The 14,995-nt window shown below is 40.2% G+C and overlaps 1 pseudogene, besides 3 other annotated features; it reads left to right on the forward strand.

Annotated features, from left to right (window-relative positions):
- Positions 3,910–4,084: a silencer, noted in NCBI's record as "fragment chr6:108603498-108603672 (GRCh37/hg19 assembly coordinates)". NCBI's record gives its function as "represses an EF-1alpha promoter that drives an FKBP-Casp9 reporter gene in an ReSE screen in K562 erythroleukemia cells {active_cell/tissue: K562}" and the evidence as "EXISTENCE:reporter gene assay evidence [ECO:0000049][PMID:32094911]".
- Positions 6,550–6,619: a silencer, noted in NCBI's record as "silent region_17450". NCBI's record gives its function as "represses an Ori minimal core promoter by ATAC-STARR-seq in GM12878 lymphoblastoid cells {active_cell/tissue: GM12878}" and the evidence as "EXISTENCE:reporter gene assay evidence [ECO:0000049][PMID:35858748]".
- Positions 8,189–8,288: an enhancer, noted in NCBI's record as "active region_24911". NCBI's record gives its function as "activates an Ori minimal core promoter by ATAC-STARR-seq in GM12878 lymphoblastoid cells {active_cell/tissue: GM12878}" and the evidence as "EXISTENCE:reporter gene assay evidence [ECO:0000049][PMID:35858748]".
- RNU6-1144P (RNA, U6 small nuclear 1144, pseudogene) lies at positions 14,382–14,485 on the forward strand (annotated as a pseudogene).

A 14,995-nucleotide genomic window follows, 5' to 3' on the forward strand; every position in this document is an offset into this window, starting at 1 on the left:
TCTAGACATTATCTAAAGACGTTCTAAAGTAAACCATTGAATGAGTGTAACTTATTTTTAGCTCAAAAAGATCAATGTGACAGAACAAAGACAGTAGCAGTAGGAATGTGGAGAAATTAATGGACTTGAGAAATACTTGTCCTGTTTCTCTGATTTGACCCCAAAGAAGGTACAACTGAGGATTGCTCAGACCAGAAGTCTGTGAGATGCCATGTCTGAGGAAGATGTCAGGATATAAAAAGCACCATGACTTCTATTGGGAGTGGAGGGCCTGGCAAATCTCTGTCAATTGTTTTCAGTGTTCTAATGAAAGGCCTTAGCCACAGGGATATACACTCCCAGAACAACAGGTTTGATTCCCAATTGTATTTGCAAAGGAAGTTAGTTCTTCTAGCTTTTCATTTACACATCCTCACAGGAGGTATATTTGTCAGGAACCCATGGGTTGGGTTTGGTAGAGCGTCTGACCAGGCCGGCCAGACAAGGCTTGGTGTACTAAGCTGTCCAATATTCCCAAAACTTTAATTACCTCAACCTAAGTATGAGAATATCATTATAATTTTTGCCACCTATCACATCACATGCTCACACAGGCACCCACATGCTATTTCTGTTTGTTATCCTACTCACTAAATAAAGCTCAACTTGTCTGAAGTCAGTCTAATCCCATCTACCCCCAAGCATTTGCCAATATTTACATCCTTTCTGCTGCAAATATTATCATTACTTATCTAATTACTTGGGCTCATACCTCTGAGACATGTTTTTCTCTTCTTTCTCATCTACCCCTCACCCCACCTCCCTGCCATAACTTAATTTATTTAATGTTAGACTACAGAGCTCTTCATATACTGCTTTGCTTTCTCTAATCTCTTCAGTCCATTGTGAATAATAGCATGATGTGCATATCACTATCCTGGTATACTTTGCTTTTATATTATAAATTATTTCTTGGCTATAATTTTTTTATTTTGAGATGGAGTTTTGCTCTTGTTGCCCAGGCTGGAGTGCAGTGGTGCAATCTCAACTCACTGCAACCTCTTCCTCCTGGGTTCAAGCAATTCTCCTGCCTCAGCCCCCTGAGTAGCTGAGATTACAGGAACCCACGACCATGCCTGGCTAATTTTTTTTTTTTTTTTTTGTATTTTTAGTAGAGATGGGGTTTCATCATGTTGGCCAGGCTGGTCTTGAACTCCCGACCTCAGGTGATCCCCTGCCTCATCCTCCCAAAGTGCTGGGATTACAGATGTGAGCCACGGCACCCAGCCTAGAATTTTATATTTTATATAAATCTGTCTGGTTTGAAGACAGTACTATAAGCAAATCAATTCTATTTAATCAAGGGTTGGTAGAGATGGGCTTAGTAGCTGTGTAACCTTAGGCAAGTTATTTTACATGTCTGTGTCTCCATTTCTTCATGTATAAAATGGGGACAATAATAGTACCTAATTCACAGGGTGTTATGAGGATTGAAAGAGTTAGTATTTGTAAGACAGTTGGAACAGCGCCGGAAACTTGGTAAGCTCTGAAATACCTGGAATCTGTGTAGAAGTCAATGAGGAAATGAGTTTATCAAGAAAGAAAGAACATGGTTGAAAATGAGACCTTGAGTCCCACAATAAGGAGTGGCTTTGGTGGTGTTTGGCTGGGTTTGTTAGCTGAGGATAGTGAATGAATGTTATATCTAGGTGAATCTAATAATGGAATTGATGATTCTCTTGACCAGAAACCTGAGCTTAAATCTATTGATAGAATGTTTGAACTGTTTGACTTACTATTGTTTTAGATTCAAAACATTGGTTTTCGTAGGCATTTCAGTTCAATGCAATGTCAATTAATTAGGTCTGAAGTAGAACAGTTACCATGAGAGGTTTATATTACCATAGCTTGCATTTGAGAAAGTCAAAATTTTCAAAATATGGTTAGTTCCAAAGTATATTTTTGATAAACCAGCTTGAATACTGCATTGTGGATAACAAGGTTAAATAAAGGTTCTAATAAGACAAACAGTGACAATTTAAATAAATCAGATGTTTTTGTCGAAGATTACTCTGTGATTTTCTCCAATTATTCATGACATTTCACCCATTCATATTGTGATCTGCTTTAATAGTGGAAGAAAAAAAAGCCCTTGTCTCCTTGTTTATTCTTTGTTCTCAAGGAGATAAGCTGTTTATAAAGACACGTTATTTGTTATTTAAATCACTTTTACTGAAGTTGTTTATTTCCTTGTTTCAGTTTCTAAAAATATTGCAACAATTGTAATGCTTCTTAGAGATGTCTATTCAATTCAGAGTGATTTGTACTGAAATTCTTTGCTAAATGGGCACAGGTGCTGATGTGTATAACATGCTAGTGAGTCAAAACTAATAAGTGCTAAAAAAAACGATAATGGGGATATACTTGTGTCAACTTTAAAAATCTGTGATTAAAAACATTTTAGACCTAAAGTCTTAGATATTTGTAAAGGTCTATCGCTATACATGCTATTTAATAAGTATTTAATAATAGTAATAATAATAATAATGAAAACAATAAATTAGGTATAATACCAAAACCATAAGCAGAAAAACTGCATAATTTAAATACAGAAATCTATTTCCTAGAAAATACCCTTTAATCACTTTGCAGACTTTGAAGATCATAATTATTATATAGAAGTAATTACATTAAAAGATAATTTACCTGGTAGTAAAGTATCAAATTAAAGCTGAAAAACTACACTTGTAAACAGAATTATATGTTTTAAAATATTGTTAAACAGCAAACATGTGAAATTATGTCTCCTGCTTCTCTCTTTGCTATGCATAAAATTACCTCCAGAAAAAATTTTGGTGATTTGGTACTATAAAGCTACATGGTACTAAAGTATACAGCTACATTACATGTTTTGCATATCAACCTAAACTATGACTTATCCTAGGTAATCAACAAGATTGATGTGTGAAATAAAGCCAAGCAGATTTGATATTTTAAGGGACAGCTGATTATTTTTAAGAACTAAAGGTTGAAAATCCAGCTGGGTTGATTTGGCTTAAAAAAATGAAGTCTGGTAACATAATTTATAGTATCTATTCCGGCCGAGTAAGCCCTGGATACTGCAAACTCGTATCTGTGGATGCACAATTCTCCCTTTGAAATTGATGAGAATTGCTTGGGCTAAGTGAGAGGCATGCTGGGAAAATTGGGCCCTTACAATTGGTGTGTATAGACATTAGAGGTTTCATGACACTTTCCTCATCTGGTCCCTCAGTTTTCTCCAGTTCTGGTTTTGGCAGGAGACACTCAGCTTTGGAAGGAATACTCCTTGAATTAGATATGTCCAGACTAAAAATTATTCAGGTTTTATCACCTAGAGAGTCTTACTTGAGAATTTCTTCATTATCAGTAAAGTTGGGTAAATAAAGTTTAACTTGATTTAAATCTTATCCAAGTAATCTCAAGATGTCCATTTGAAAAACAAAACAAAAACCAGCTGATTTCGTTGAAGTCTAGGCCAAATCACGGCTAAGTTTGAGTGTAGTCACCTGGAGCAAGTACTATACTTATAAACAAATGAATTCATATACTTTTATCATGGCATCTTTGAGTTTTGAAGATTGGCTACATTTTAGGCCAACTTCAGTTTCTCTAAATAAGTGGTCTATAGAACTGAAAAACACTCAATTTGTTTGCCTGGTTGCATCTCATTAAATCCAACTAACCAATCAACAAAACTAGATTGGTCATGACTATCAATGAACAGCAATCAAAGTATTATGTGGCATGGTCTACTTTTTGTCTATCTGTTGATCTTGTTTAAGGGTTATTTCCATTACCATTCAGTTAACTTCAAGAAGGTATAGTAGCTGTATTATATTGGACAAGTCACTTACTGTATCTCTCAGAATCATGGAGTTTTTTTGTTTGTTTGTTCGTTTGTTTTAATTGAGACAGGGTCTTACCCTGTTGCTCAACCTGGAATGGAGTGGCTTGAAAACAGCTCACTACAGCCTTGACCTCCCGGGCTCAAGAAATCCTCCCACCTCAGCCTCCTGAGTAGCTGGGACTACAGGTGGACGTCATCATACTTGGCTACTTTTTAAAAGCATTTTTTGTGGAGATGGGGTCTTGCTATGTTGCCTAGGCTGATCTCAAATTCCTGGCCTCAGCAATCCTCCAGCTCAGCCTCCCAAAGTGGTAGGGTTACAGGCATGAGCCACAATGTGCCCAGCCCCCTTGAGGATCTTAAAATAAATGTATTCATTAAGGCTGAATATCAATAGTAGTATGCAGTATATAATGTACATGTAATGATGGATACTAAATACATATTGCAGTATTAAACCTGGAACATTCTTTTTTTAATTTTTTTGAGACAGAGTCTCGCTCTGTCACCCAGGCTGGAGTGCAATGGCACGATCTCGGCTCAAGCAATTCTCCTGCCTCAGCCTCATGAGTAGCTGGGATTACAGGCACATGCCACCACGCCCAGCTAAGTTTTGTATTTTTAGTAGAGATGGAGTTTCACTATGTTGGTCAGACTGGTCTTGAACTCTTGACCTCAAATGATCCACCTGCCTCGGCCTCCCGAAGTGCTGGGATTGCAGGCATGAGCCACTGCACCTGGCCTAAAGCTGGAACATTCTTAAAGTTGCCTTGAAAATATTAAAAGTCAATTGATAGCTTGGGTAATTATTTTTATTAAAATTTTCTTTCCTTTCTTTTTTTTTTTTTTGAGGTGGAGTCTCGCTCTGTCACCCAGGCTGGAGTGCAATGGTGTGATCTTGGCTCACTGCAACCTCCGCTTCCTGGGTTGAAGCAATTCTCATGCCTCAGCCTCCCTAGTGGCAGGGATTAGAGGCACCGGCCATCATGCCCGGCTAATTTATTTTGTATTTTTGTAGAGACGGGGTTTCACCATGTTGGCCAGGCTGGTCTTGAGCTCCTGACCTCAGGTGATCCATCCATCTCGGCTTCCAAAGTGCTAGGATTACAGGCGTGAGCCATTGTGCCTAGCCAAATTTTTTTTTTCTAATTTAAAAAATATCTTGAACCTGGCCTCAATTGATCCTCCCACCTCAGCCTCCCAAAGCACTGGAATTATAGGCGTGAGCTACTGCACTGATTTTTCAAATATTAGTAAAAACCAACAGAACATTCATAGGAAATAAAGGGGGGGGGTGTCCAGTGGGTGGATGGGATTAGTTTACCAGTTTTTCTAGAATAATATATACAAAGGTGCATGTAAACAAATAAGATGCTTGGTAAATCACCCATGATATGTTGCTTTCTGAGTATAAATTATTTGAGTGATCTGAGAGGATGGTAAGGTAGGCAGAGCCAGATATTGATTTTCTAAAAGGTCCATAATAAAGAAATTGTACTTCATTCTGCAGACAGTAGGGAGGCACTGCAAATTTAGAAACTGTGAAGGATCGTAGTCAGATAGGTGACATCTTTGGAAAGATGCATCTGACAGCAGTATGGTGTGGAGGGGAAACAGCCAGAGCTAGAGTTGGGAGATGACTGCATCAGCCTCTGAAAGACAAGAGGGAGACCCAGTGGTAACGGATGGATTTAATCATATTTGGTGAAGGACTGGATAGGAGGGATGAGGAAGAGAAACTAGGTGATGATTCCCAGATTCCAAGTTTGTGTGTCCAATTGGGGAACGTTAGTATTAGTTGGGGTTTGTTGCTATTTTTAAAGGGAGGATGGTGGCCGGGTGCAGTGGCTCATGCTGGTAATCCCAGCACTTTGGGAGGCTGAGGCGGGTGGATCACTTGAGGTCAGGAGTTTGAGACCAGCCTGGCCAACATGGTGAAACCCCGTCTCTACTAAAAATACAAAAATTAGCCGGGAGTGGTGGTGCACGCCTGTAGTCCCAGCTACTTGGGAGGCTGAGGCACGAGAATCGCTTGAACCCAGGAGGTGGAGGTTGCAGTGAGCCGAGATTGCACCACTGCACTCCAGCCTGGGTGACAGAGCAAGACTCTCTACAATATATATATGGAAAGCTTTTTTTTCCCTCTCAAAATTTGGATAAGGAAGAAATACATAGGTAAATACACATATATTATCATGTGATTCAATTTTTTAAAAAAGGATATTCAAAACTGAAAAAAAAACAGTTATTTTAATTTGTTGTTGAAAATAAGTAGTAAGAAACTAAATAAAGGCTGGGCATGGTGGCTCACACCTGTAATCCCAGCACATTGGGAGGCCGAGGCAGGAGGATCACTTGAGGTCAGGAGTTCAAGACCAGCCTAGCCAACATGGTGAAACCCTGTCTTTTCTAAAAATACAAAAATTAGCCAGGCATGTTGGCATGCACCTGTAATCCCAGCTACCCGAGAGGCTGAGGCAGGAGAATCTCTTGAACCCAGGAGGTGGAGAATGCAGTGAGCCGAGATTGCACCACTGCACTCTAGCCTGGGCAACAGAACAAGACTCCATCTCAAAAAAAAAAAAAAAAAAAAAAAAGAAAAAAGAAAGAAAGAAAGAAAAAAAAAGAAAAAAAAAAGAAAAAAGAAACTGGCTGGGCACGGCAGCTCACGCCTATAATCCCAGCACTTTGGGAGGCCGAGGCAGGCAGATCACGAACGAGGTTAGGAGTTTGAGACCAGCCTGGCCAACATAGTGAAACCCCGTTGCTACTAAAAATACAAAAATTAGCCACGCATGGTGGCACGCACCTGTAGTCCCAGCTACTCAGGAGGCTGAGGCAAGAGAATTGCTTGAACCTGGGAGGCGGAGGTTGCAGTGAGCTGAGACTGTGCCATTGCACTCCAGCCTGGGTGACAGAGTGAGACTCCCATCTCAAAAAAAATAATAATAATAAAAAAGAAACTAAATAAAGGTTTGAGCACTGGACTTGGCTTCAAATATTCTGTCTTTGGCCAGTCTCTAGTTATGAGTTAAACAACGTTTCAGTAAAGGGGAAAAAAGGTGATTTTTGTTGTAAGGTTAGCAAAAGAATAAGAAATGGACTGCTTGTAGCAAAATCTATACTTTGTACACATTTATAAATCTGTATTACTGAAGTGTGTACATCTTGGTTAGAAGTTACATTTCTCATAGTTAATAAGGTACTTAGGTATATTTGTTTATTTAGTTTGTTTAAATTAAGTAACCTAGTGCCTATAGTGCCAGCTACTTGGGAGGCTGAGGCAGGAGGATTGCTTGAGCCCAGGAGTTTGAGGCTGCACTGAGCTATGATTGCATCACTGCACTTTAGCCTAGGTTGACAGAGTGAGATCTTGTCTCTAAAAAAAAGGAAAAGAAAATAAATTAAGTAACCTAAGTTATATCTTTGGTTAAGGATATTTAAAATACAAATGTTTTGAATTTAGAAGCTAGATATTTGACTCTACTTGAATGTAGAAACTAGAAGTTATTATGTAATGGTTTCCATGTGAATTTATTTATTTATTTATTTAGTGTAGAGATGGGGTCTTGTTATGTTGCCCAGGCTGGTCTTGAACTCCTGGCCTCAAGCAAGCCTCCCACCTCTGTCTCTCAAAGTGCTGAGATTACCAGCGTGAGCCACTGTACCCCTGAAATAATTTCTTATGTATCTTCAAATGGACCACATTGTTTTTCATAGCTCTAAAGTGTTTCTTTGTTAAATTAGAAGAAATTATACTTATGAAGAACCACGTGTAATGGCAAATAAATAAATAAGCAAATGGAAAAAAGGGCTCTTGGGTTGTGTTTCAATTACTTCTGTAATATTGAATTTAATGGTGTTTTAAAAAATTAATCTTTAAAATGGATCCACAGTATGGATGTTCCTAAAGAAATTAGAAACAGAACTACCCAGACTACGGTGGCTCATGCCTGTAATCCCAGCACTTTTGGAGGCCGAGGTGGGAAGACTGCTTGAGCCCAGGAGTTTGAGACCAGTCTAGACAACATGGCAAACTCCGTCTCTACAAAAAATACAAAAATTAGCCAGGCATGTGGTGCGCACCTGTAGTTCTAGCCACTTGGGAGGCTTATGTGGGAGGGAGAATTGCTTGAGCCCCAGAGGTCAAGGCTGCAGTGAGCCAAGATTGTGCTACTGCACTCCAGCCTGGGCGACAAAGTGAGACCCTGTCTCAAAAAAAAAGAAAGAAAAAGAAAAAGAAAAAAACCCCCTCAAAACCACAGAACTATCATATAAACTGGGAATCTCCCTTCTGGGTGTATACTCAAAGGAGATGAAACCACCTCCTCGTAAAGATATCTGCACTCCCATGTTCTTTGCAGCATTAGTCACAATAGCCAAGATGTGGAGACAACCTGTGTCCATAGACAGTTGAATGAATAAAGAAAATGTAGCACGTGCGTGCACACACACACACACACACACACACACACACACTGGAGTATTATTTTATTTTTTTGAGAAGGAATTTCACTCTGATTGCCCAGGCTGGAGTGCAATGGTGCGATCTCAGCTCACTGTAGCCTCCGCCTCCCGGGTTCAAGCGATTCTCGAGCCGCAGCCTCCCGAGTAGCTGGGATTACAGGCATGTGCCACTGTGCCCGGCTAAGTTTGTATTTTTAGTAGAGATGGGGTTTCACCATGTTAGCCAGGTGGTCTCGAACTTCTGACCTCAGGTGATCTGCCGACTTCGGCCTCCCAGAGTGCTGGGATTACAAGCGTGAGCCACCGCACCCAGCCTGGAGTATTATTTAGCATTAAAAAAGGAGGAAATCCTGCTATTTGTAGGATGGACCTGGAGGACGTTATGCTAAGTGAAATCAGCCAGACATAGAAATAAAAATATTGAATGGTCTCACTTATGTGTGGAATCTATTTTAGTTTTCTTTTTTCTTTTTTGGCTAGTTTTTGTATTTTTGTATTTTTTGTGGAGGTGGGGGTCTCCTTATGTTGCCTTGGTTGGTCTCAAACTCCTGGGCTCAAGCGATCCAGCTGTCTCGACCTCCCAAAGTGTTGGGATTACAGGTATGAGCCACCGGCCTGGCCTTAATTGTTTTATTTTATTTTTGAGATGGGATCTTGCTCCGTCATCCAGGCTAGGGTGCAGTGGTATGATCATAGCTCACTGCAGCCTCGAACTCTTGGGCTCAAGGTATCCTCCTGCCTCACCCTTCCAAAGTCCTGGGATTATAGGCAGGAGCCACTGCACTCAGCTTAAAATTTTAAAAAGTTCAAACATACAGAGATAGAGAATAAAACGGTGGTTACTGGGGTGAGGTTGGAGGTTCAGGGGAGGAAATGAGGTGATGTAATTCAAAGGATACAAAGTAGCAGATCTGTAAGCAGTCTATAGTTAATAAAATTACACAGTATTTGAGATTTTTTGCTAAATAAGTAGATTTTAGCAGCTCTTGTCACAGAAAAATAACTGTGAGATGACAGATGTTAATTTGCTTCACCATAGTAACCATTTTACAATTATATGTATCCTATAACATCATTTTGCAAACCTCAAACATATACAATAAAATTTACTTAAAAAATTAAAATGGGCTCAAAATCTTAGAAGCATCACTTATTTCATGAAGAAGGTAAAGTAATCTTTTCTTTTTGCAGATAGAAAATAAATTTTGTATTAAGACTACTCATTTAGTCATTTAACAAACATTTGAGTTCCTTATAACCTAGGTACTACTATAGGCCCTGGCGACATGGCAGTGAACAAAACAGACATAAATCCCTGCCATAGGGAGCTTAGATTCTAGGAAGAGTAGTAAGAGCAGGTAATAAGCTAATAAATTAGTAAAGTACATATTATGCTAGATGGTAGTAACTGTTGTGGAGAAAATAAAGCTGGGAAGAAAGAAAAGGAGTGCTGGGCAAGATTGTAATTTCATATAGATAGTAGTTAGGAAAGGCCTTAACTAAGAAGGTGTCATAAGGAAGTAAAGACAAGAGGAAGTGAGCCAAGTAGATATTTTGGAGCAGAGCATCCCAGGCAGAAGGAACAGGACATGCAGAAGCTTCAGGAGTGAGAAGCTGGCTTGGTGAGTTCCAGGAATAGCAAGAAAGCCAACGTGCATGGACAGAGATGGGACGGGAGAATGGTCTGAGATGAGATCAAAGAGGTAGTTGGTACCCTCATCATGAGACCTCATAGGCTGTTTTGATAACCGAGTGGCAGGGTAAGCCACTAGTAGGTATTAAACACAGGAAAGTAATGATGCAACTTAGAATTTTAGAAATTATATATGGCTCTTGTAACCGCCCAATGGTTTCATTTTGTCCGCTGCCCAGATAGAGTCGATTTATCAAGACAGGGGAATTGCCATTAGAGAAAGAGTTTAATTCATGCAGAGCCAGTTGAACAGGAGACCAGAGTTTTATTACTACTCAAATCAGTCCCCTGAAAATTCAGAGACTAGGGTTAAGGATAATTTGGTAGATAGGGGGCCAGGGAGTCAGGAGTGCTGATTGATTTACTATCACTCAAATCAGTCTCCCTGAAAATTCAGAGACTGGGGTTAAGGATAATTTGGTGGACAGGGGGCCAGGGAGTCAGGAGTGCTGATTGATCAGGCTGGAAATGAAATCAAAGGGAGTCAAAGCTGTCCTCTTGTGCTGAGTCAGTTCCTGGGTGGGGACCACAAGACTAGATGAGCCAGTTGATTGATCTGGGTGGCACCAGCTAATCCATCAGGGTCTGAAAAATATCTCCAGCATCAATCTTAGGTTTTACAGGTGATGTTATCCCTAGGAGCAATTGGGGAGGTTTAGATCTTGTGGCCTCTAGCTGCATGACTCCTAAACCATAATTTCTAATCTTGTAGCTAATCTGTTAGTCCTACAAAGGCAGTCTGGTCCCCAGGCAAGAAAAGGGTTTGTTTTGGAAAAGGGCTATCATCCTTCAAAGTTAAACTATAAACTAAATTCCTCCCAAAGTTAGTTCAGCCTATACCCAGAAATGAACAAGGACAGCTTGGAGGTTAGAAGCAAGATCAAGTCGGTCAGATCTTTCACTGTCATAATTTTCTCACAGTTATAATTTTTGCACAGACAATTCCCCTGTGTGGAGAACAAACTGTAGGGGTAGAGAGTGAAAGCAAGGAGACCAGTGACAAGGCAACTGCAATAATCCAGGAAGGAGATGATAGTGACTTGGATCAGAGTTGGTGGTAGCAGTACTGGCAGTGAAACATGATGGAATTCTGGATAATTTTGAAGATGAAGCCAACAAAATTCACTGAAGGACTGGGTGTAAGGTGAGAGTGAATGGTGAAAGCAGAGGATGATTCCTGTGATAAATGGTTTGACCTACTGGAAGGCCAGTGTTGCCATCTACTGAGATGAAGAAGGCTACAGACGAAGTGGTGGAAGTGGGAATCAATTACTAGGTCCTTTCCTCCCTAGGGAGGTGGCTACAAGAAGAGGAACAAGAGTATTGAGGAAGGCCGGGTGCGCTGGCTCACGCCTGTAATCCCAGCACTTTGGGAGGCTGAGGCAGGAGGATCACAAGGTCAGGAGATCGAGACCATCCTGGCTAACACGGTGAAACCCTGTCTCTACTAAAAACACAAAAAATTAGCCAGGCTTGGTGGCAGGTGCCTGTAGTCCCAGCTACTCTGGAGGCTGAGGCAGGAGAATGGCATGAACCCAGGAGGCAGAGCTTGCAGTGAGCTGAGATCGCACCACTGCACTCCAGCCTGGGCGACAGAGTGGGACTCTTGTCTCAAAAAAAAAAAAAAGAAAAAAGAAAGAGTATGAGGAAATGGTGAAATGGTATCTTGGCTGCTTCATGCCAATGGCCTATTCCATCTGCAGTCTGTCTCTGTCAATGGCTCAATGGCATCCTCTAAAATGGCAACCTCATGAACCTGGAAATGGAAAATCCCAATCACCCATATTTATTATGAATTACCATCTCATTTATTTAGATCCTACTTGAAAAATATTTTTCTTTTGCCTTTAATGAGTTTCGTGAATTTGCTACTTGATGTTCTGTAGCACTTTCTTCTACTTAAAAATTTCTGCTGGGCACAGTGGCTCACACCTGTAATCCCAGGACTTTGGGAGGTTGAAGCAGGCTGATTGCTTGAGTCCAGGAGTTTGAGACTAGCCTGGGCAACATGGTGAAAGCCCATCCCTACAAAAAATTAGGTGAGTGCATGGGGCATGCCTGCAGTTTCAGCTACTCAGGAGGCTGAGGTGGGAGGATTTTTTGAGCCCAGGAGGCAGAGGTTGCAGTGAGCTGAGATCATGCCACCGCACTCCAGCCTGGGCAAGAGTGAGACCCTGACTCAAAAAAATTTTTTTCCACTGTTTTCAACCTTAGAGTGCATTCCTTATTTCTACGATTCTTGGATATCATGAATCTGTGTTGTCCTAGGCATACCCTTATTTTATTTTATTTAAAAAAATGTTGGCCAGGCAAGGTGGCTCATACCTGTAATCCCAGCACCTTGGGAAGCCAAGGCAGGTGGATTGCTTGAGCCCAGGAGTTTTGAGACCACCCTGGGCAACATGGCAAAATCCTCTCTAATAATACCAAAACAAATAGCTGGGCATGATGGCGTGCACCTATAGTCCCAGCTACTAGGGAGGCTGGGGTAGGAGGATCACCTGAGCCTGGAAGGCAGAGGCTGCAGTGAGCCGAGATCATGCCACTGTACTCCAGCCTGGGTGACAGAGTGAAACCCTGTCTCAATCAATCAATCAATCAATCAATCGATAGAGATGGGGTCTCGCTATGTTTCTCAGGCTGGCTGGCCTCAAGTGATGCTCCCACCTTGGCCTCCCAAAGTGCTGGAATTATAGGCATGAGCCATGGTGCTGGTCCTGTTCCTTATTTTAGGCTTGGATATTATTCTTCTCAATTTCTATTTACAATAATTTCTGATTAACAGTTTGTGTATACTGTATATATTATCTCATTTAATTCTCACAAAACCTGTGAGGTAGCCAACATAGAAACCACCCTAATTTTATAGATAAGAAAAACAGGCTGGGCGTGGTGACTCAAGCCTATATCCTCAGTATACTGGGAGGCTGAGGCGGGAGGAACACTTGAGGGGCCTGGGGAATATGGGGAGAACCTGTCTCTACAAAAAATGTAAAAATTTTAGCCGGGCATGGTGGCACATGCCTGTGGTCCTAGCTACTCGGGACACTGAGGTGGGAGGATTGCCCTCTTAAGCCAGAGAGGTCAAGGTTGCAGTGAGCCGAGATCCCACCACTGCACTCCAGCCTGGGTGGCAGAGAAAGACCCTGTCTCAAAAAAAAAAAAAAAAGAAAAAGAAGAAAAACAGAGAGAGCTTGAATTAGTGACAAAATCAGAGCTGAAATATAACTCCTGACTCAGTATGTTTTCTATTGACCACTTTCTTTCTTATTTCCTCATTTCTTTCATTGTATTTGTCCTTCTCTAGACTATTTTAGTTTGGTTTTATGCTTAATATTAGATGCCAGAGCTACTTGCCATTTTCTCTAGGAAGATTTTTTAAATAAGGACAAGAAAATACCTTGTAATTTTATGACTTATTTCAAATAGTTTTCCTGACAATGTTAAAAAATTTTTTCAGGCTAATTATTTTGTTTAATTTGTTTTAGGAATTGCAGGAACAGCAGGATTAATGTTTTAATAAAATGGTTTACAATGGCTACTTAGTCTTCTGGTCATTCTCTTGACTACATCAATTATAATATAATTGAATACATCAATTACAATCTAAGTTATTAAGTTAATCTAAGTTATTTCCCTCTAAATTAGCTTACATTTGTACAAAATAAAGTTAATTTCCTAAGTTTCTACTTGCACAACCATGTGAAAATTTCCTGTAGGTCTTCTTTGGCATCAAATTATCCATGAGTGCTTATATCACCTCCATAATTATTAAGCTGTTGGAATTTCTAATAAAGGATAATTTCATTGGCCAAGGCAAGTGATTTTTCGGAGCAAACATAATGAAATCTAAATACTCTCTGAGAGTCTTTTGAGTGTGATAAATACATATGCAAGTCAAGGGAGAAACAATCAGATTTTTCAAAAGGTCTTTCACAAAGTGTCACACCAAAAATTAGCAACAAAATAAAAAAAAAATCACCATAGTATGGAAGAACAGTTTGTCATGTCAGGCAGTGGAATTACAGAGAGAAGATAAATAGTACGTGTAAATTGGCTTATTTTGACAGATACAATCAAAATAATTTTTTCCATGAATGATTTGACCAAGTTGGTAGAGACGTCTCTAAATTATTATACCGTGCTACACTTTCTCTTTCTTGTTTCTTTGGAATCCCTCTTCTAGTGTGGACCAACTGTCTGACTTCCTAGAGTTCTTCTTAGTGTAGTCTTTTCATTTGTTTTCACACAACTGAAGTTTCTCCTTCCTATACTCCAGACTTTCTTGCCTGCCTGACTTCACTGTATTCCCTGTTCTTGGAAGGTCTTTATCTCTTAAAAGTTAAGCTTGTAGTGCTTGCTTTGGCAGCACATATATTAAAATTGGAACGATACAGAGATTAGCATGATCTCTGCGCAAGGATGACACACAAATTCGTGAAGTAGTCCATGTTTTTAAAAATTAAAAAAAAAAAAGCTTTAAAGCTTGGGATGGTGGTTGGCACCTGTAGTCCCAGCTACTGGGGAGGCTGAAGCAGGAGGATCATGTAAGTTCAGGTGTTCAAGGCTACTATGCACAATGATGGAGTCTGTGAATAGCCACAGCACTTGGGCCTGGGCAACATAGTGAGGCCACTTCTCTTAAAAAAAAAAAAAACAAAAAACAAAAAAACAAAAGTTGAGTTTTTAGAAGGCCTTTTTGATTTACCAGCCAAACTGCTCTCTCATTGATTCCACAACACTGAATTATCTTTTAGCATGATCTCTGCGCAAGGATGACACACAAATTCGTGAAGTAGTCCATGTTTTTAAAAATTAAAAAAAAAAAAGCTTTAAAGCTTGGGATGGTGGTTGGCACCTGTAGTCCCAGCTACTGGGGAGGCTGAAGCAGGAGGATCATGTAAGTTCAGGTGTTCAAGGCTACTATGCACAATGATGGAGTCTGTGAATAGCCACAGCACTTGGGC

This window comes from Homo sapiens, chromosome 6 (assembly GCF_000001405.40).
Source record: "Homo sapiens chromosome 6, GRCh38.p14 Primary Assembly".
In the NCBI taxonomy this organism is placed as follows: Eukaryota; Metazoa; Chordata; class Mammalia; order Primates; family Hominidae; genus Homo; species Homo sapiens.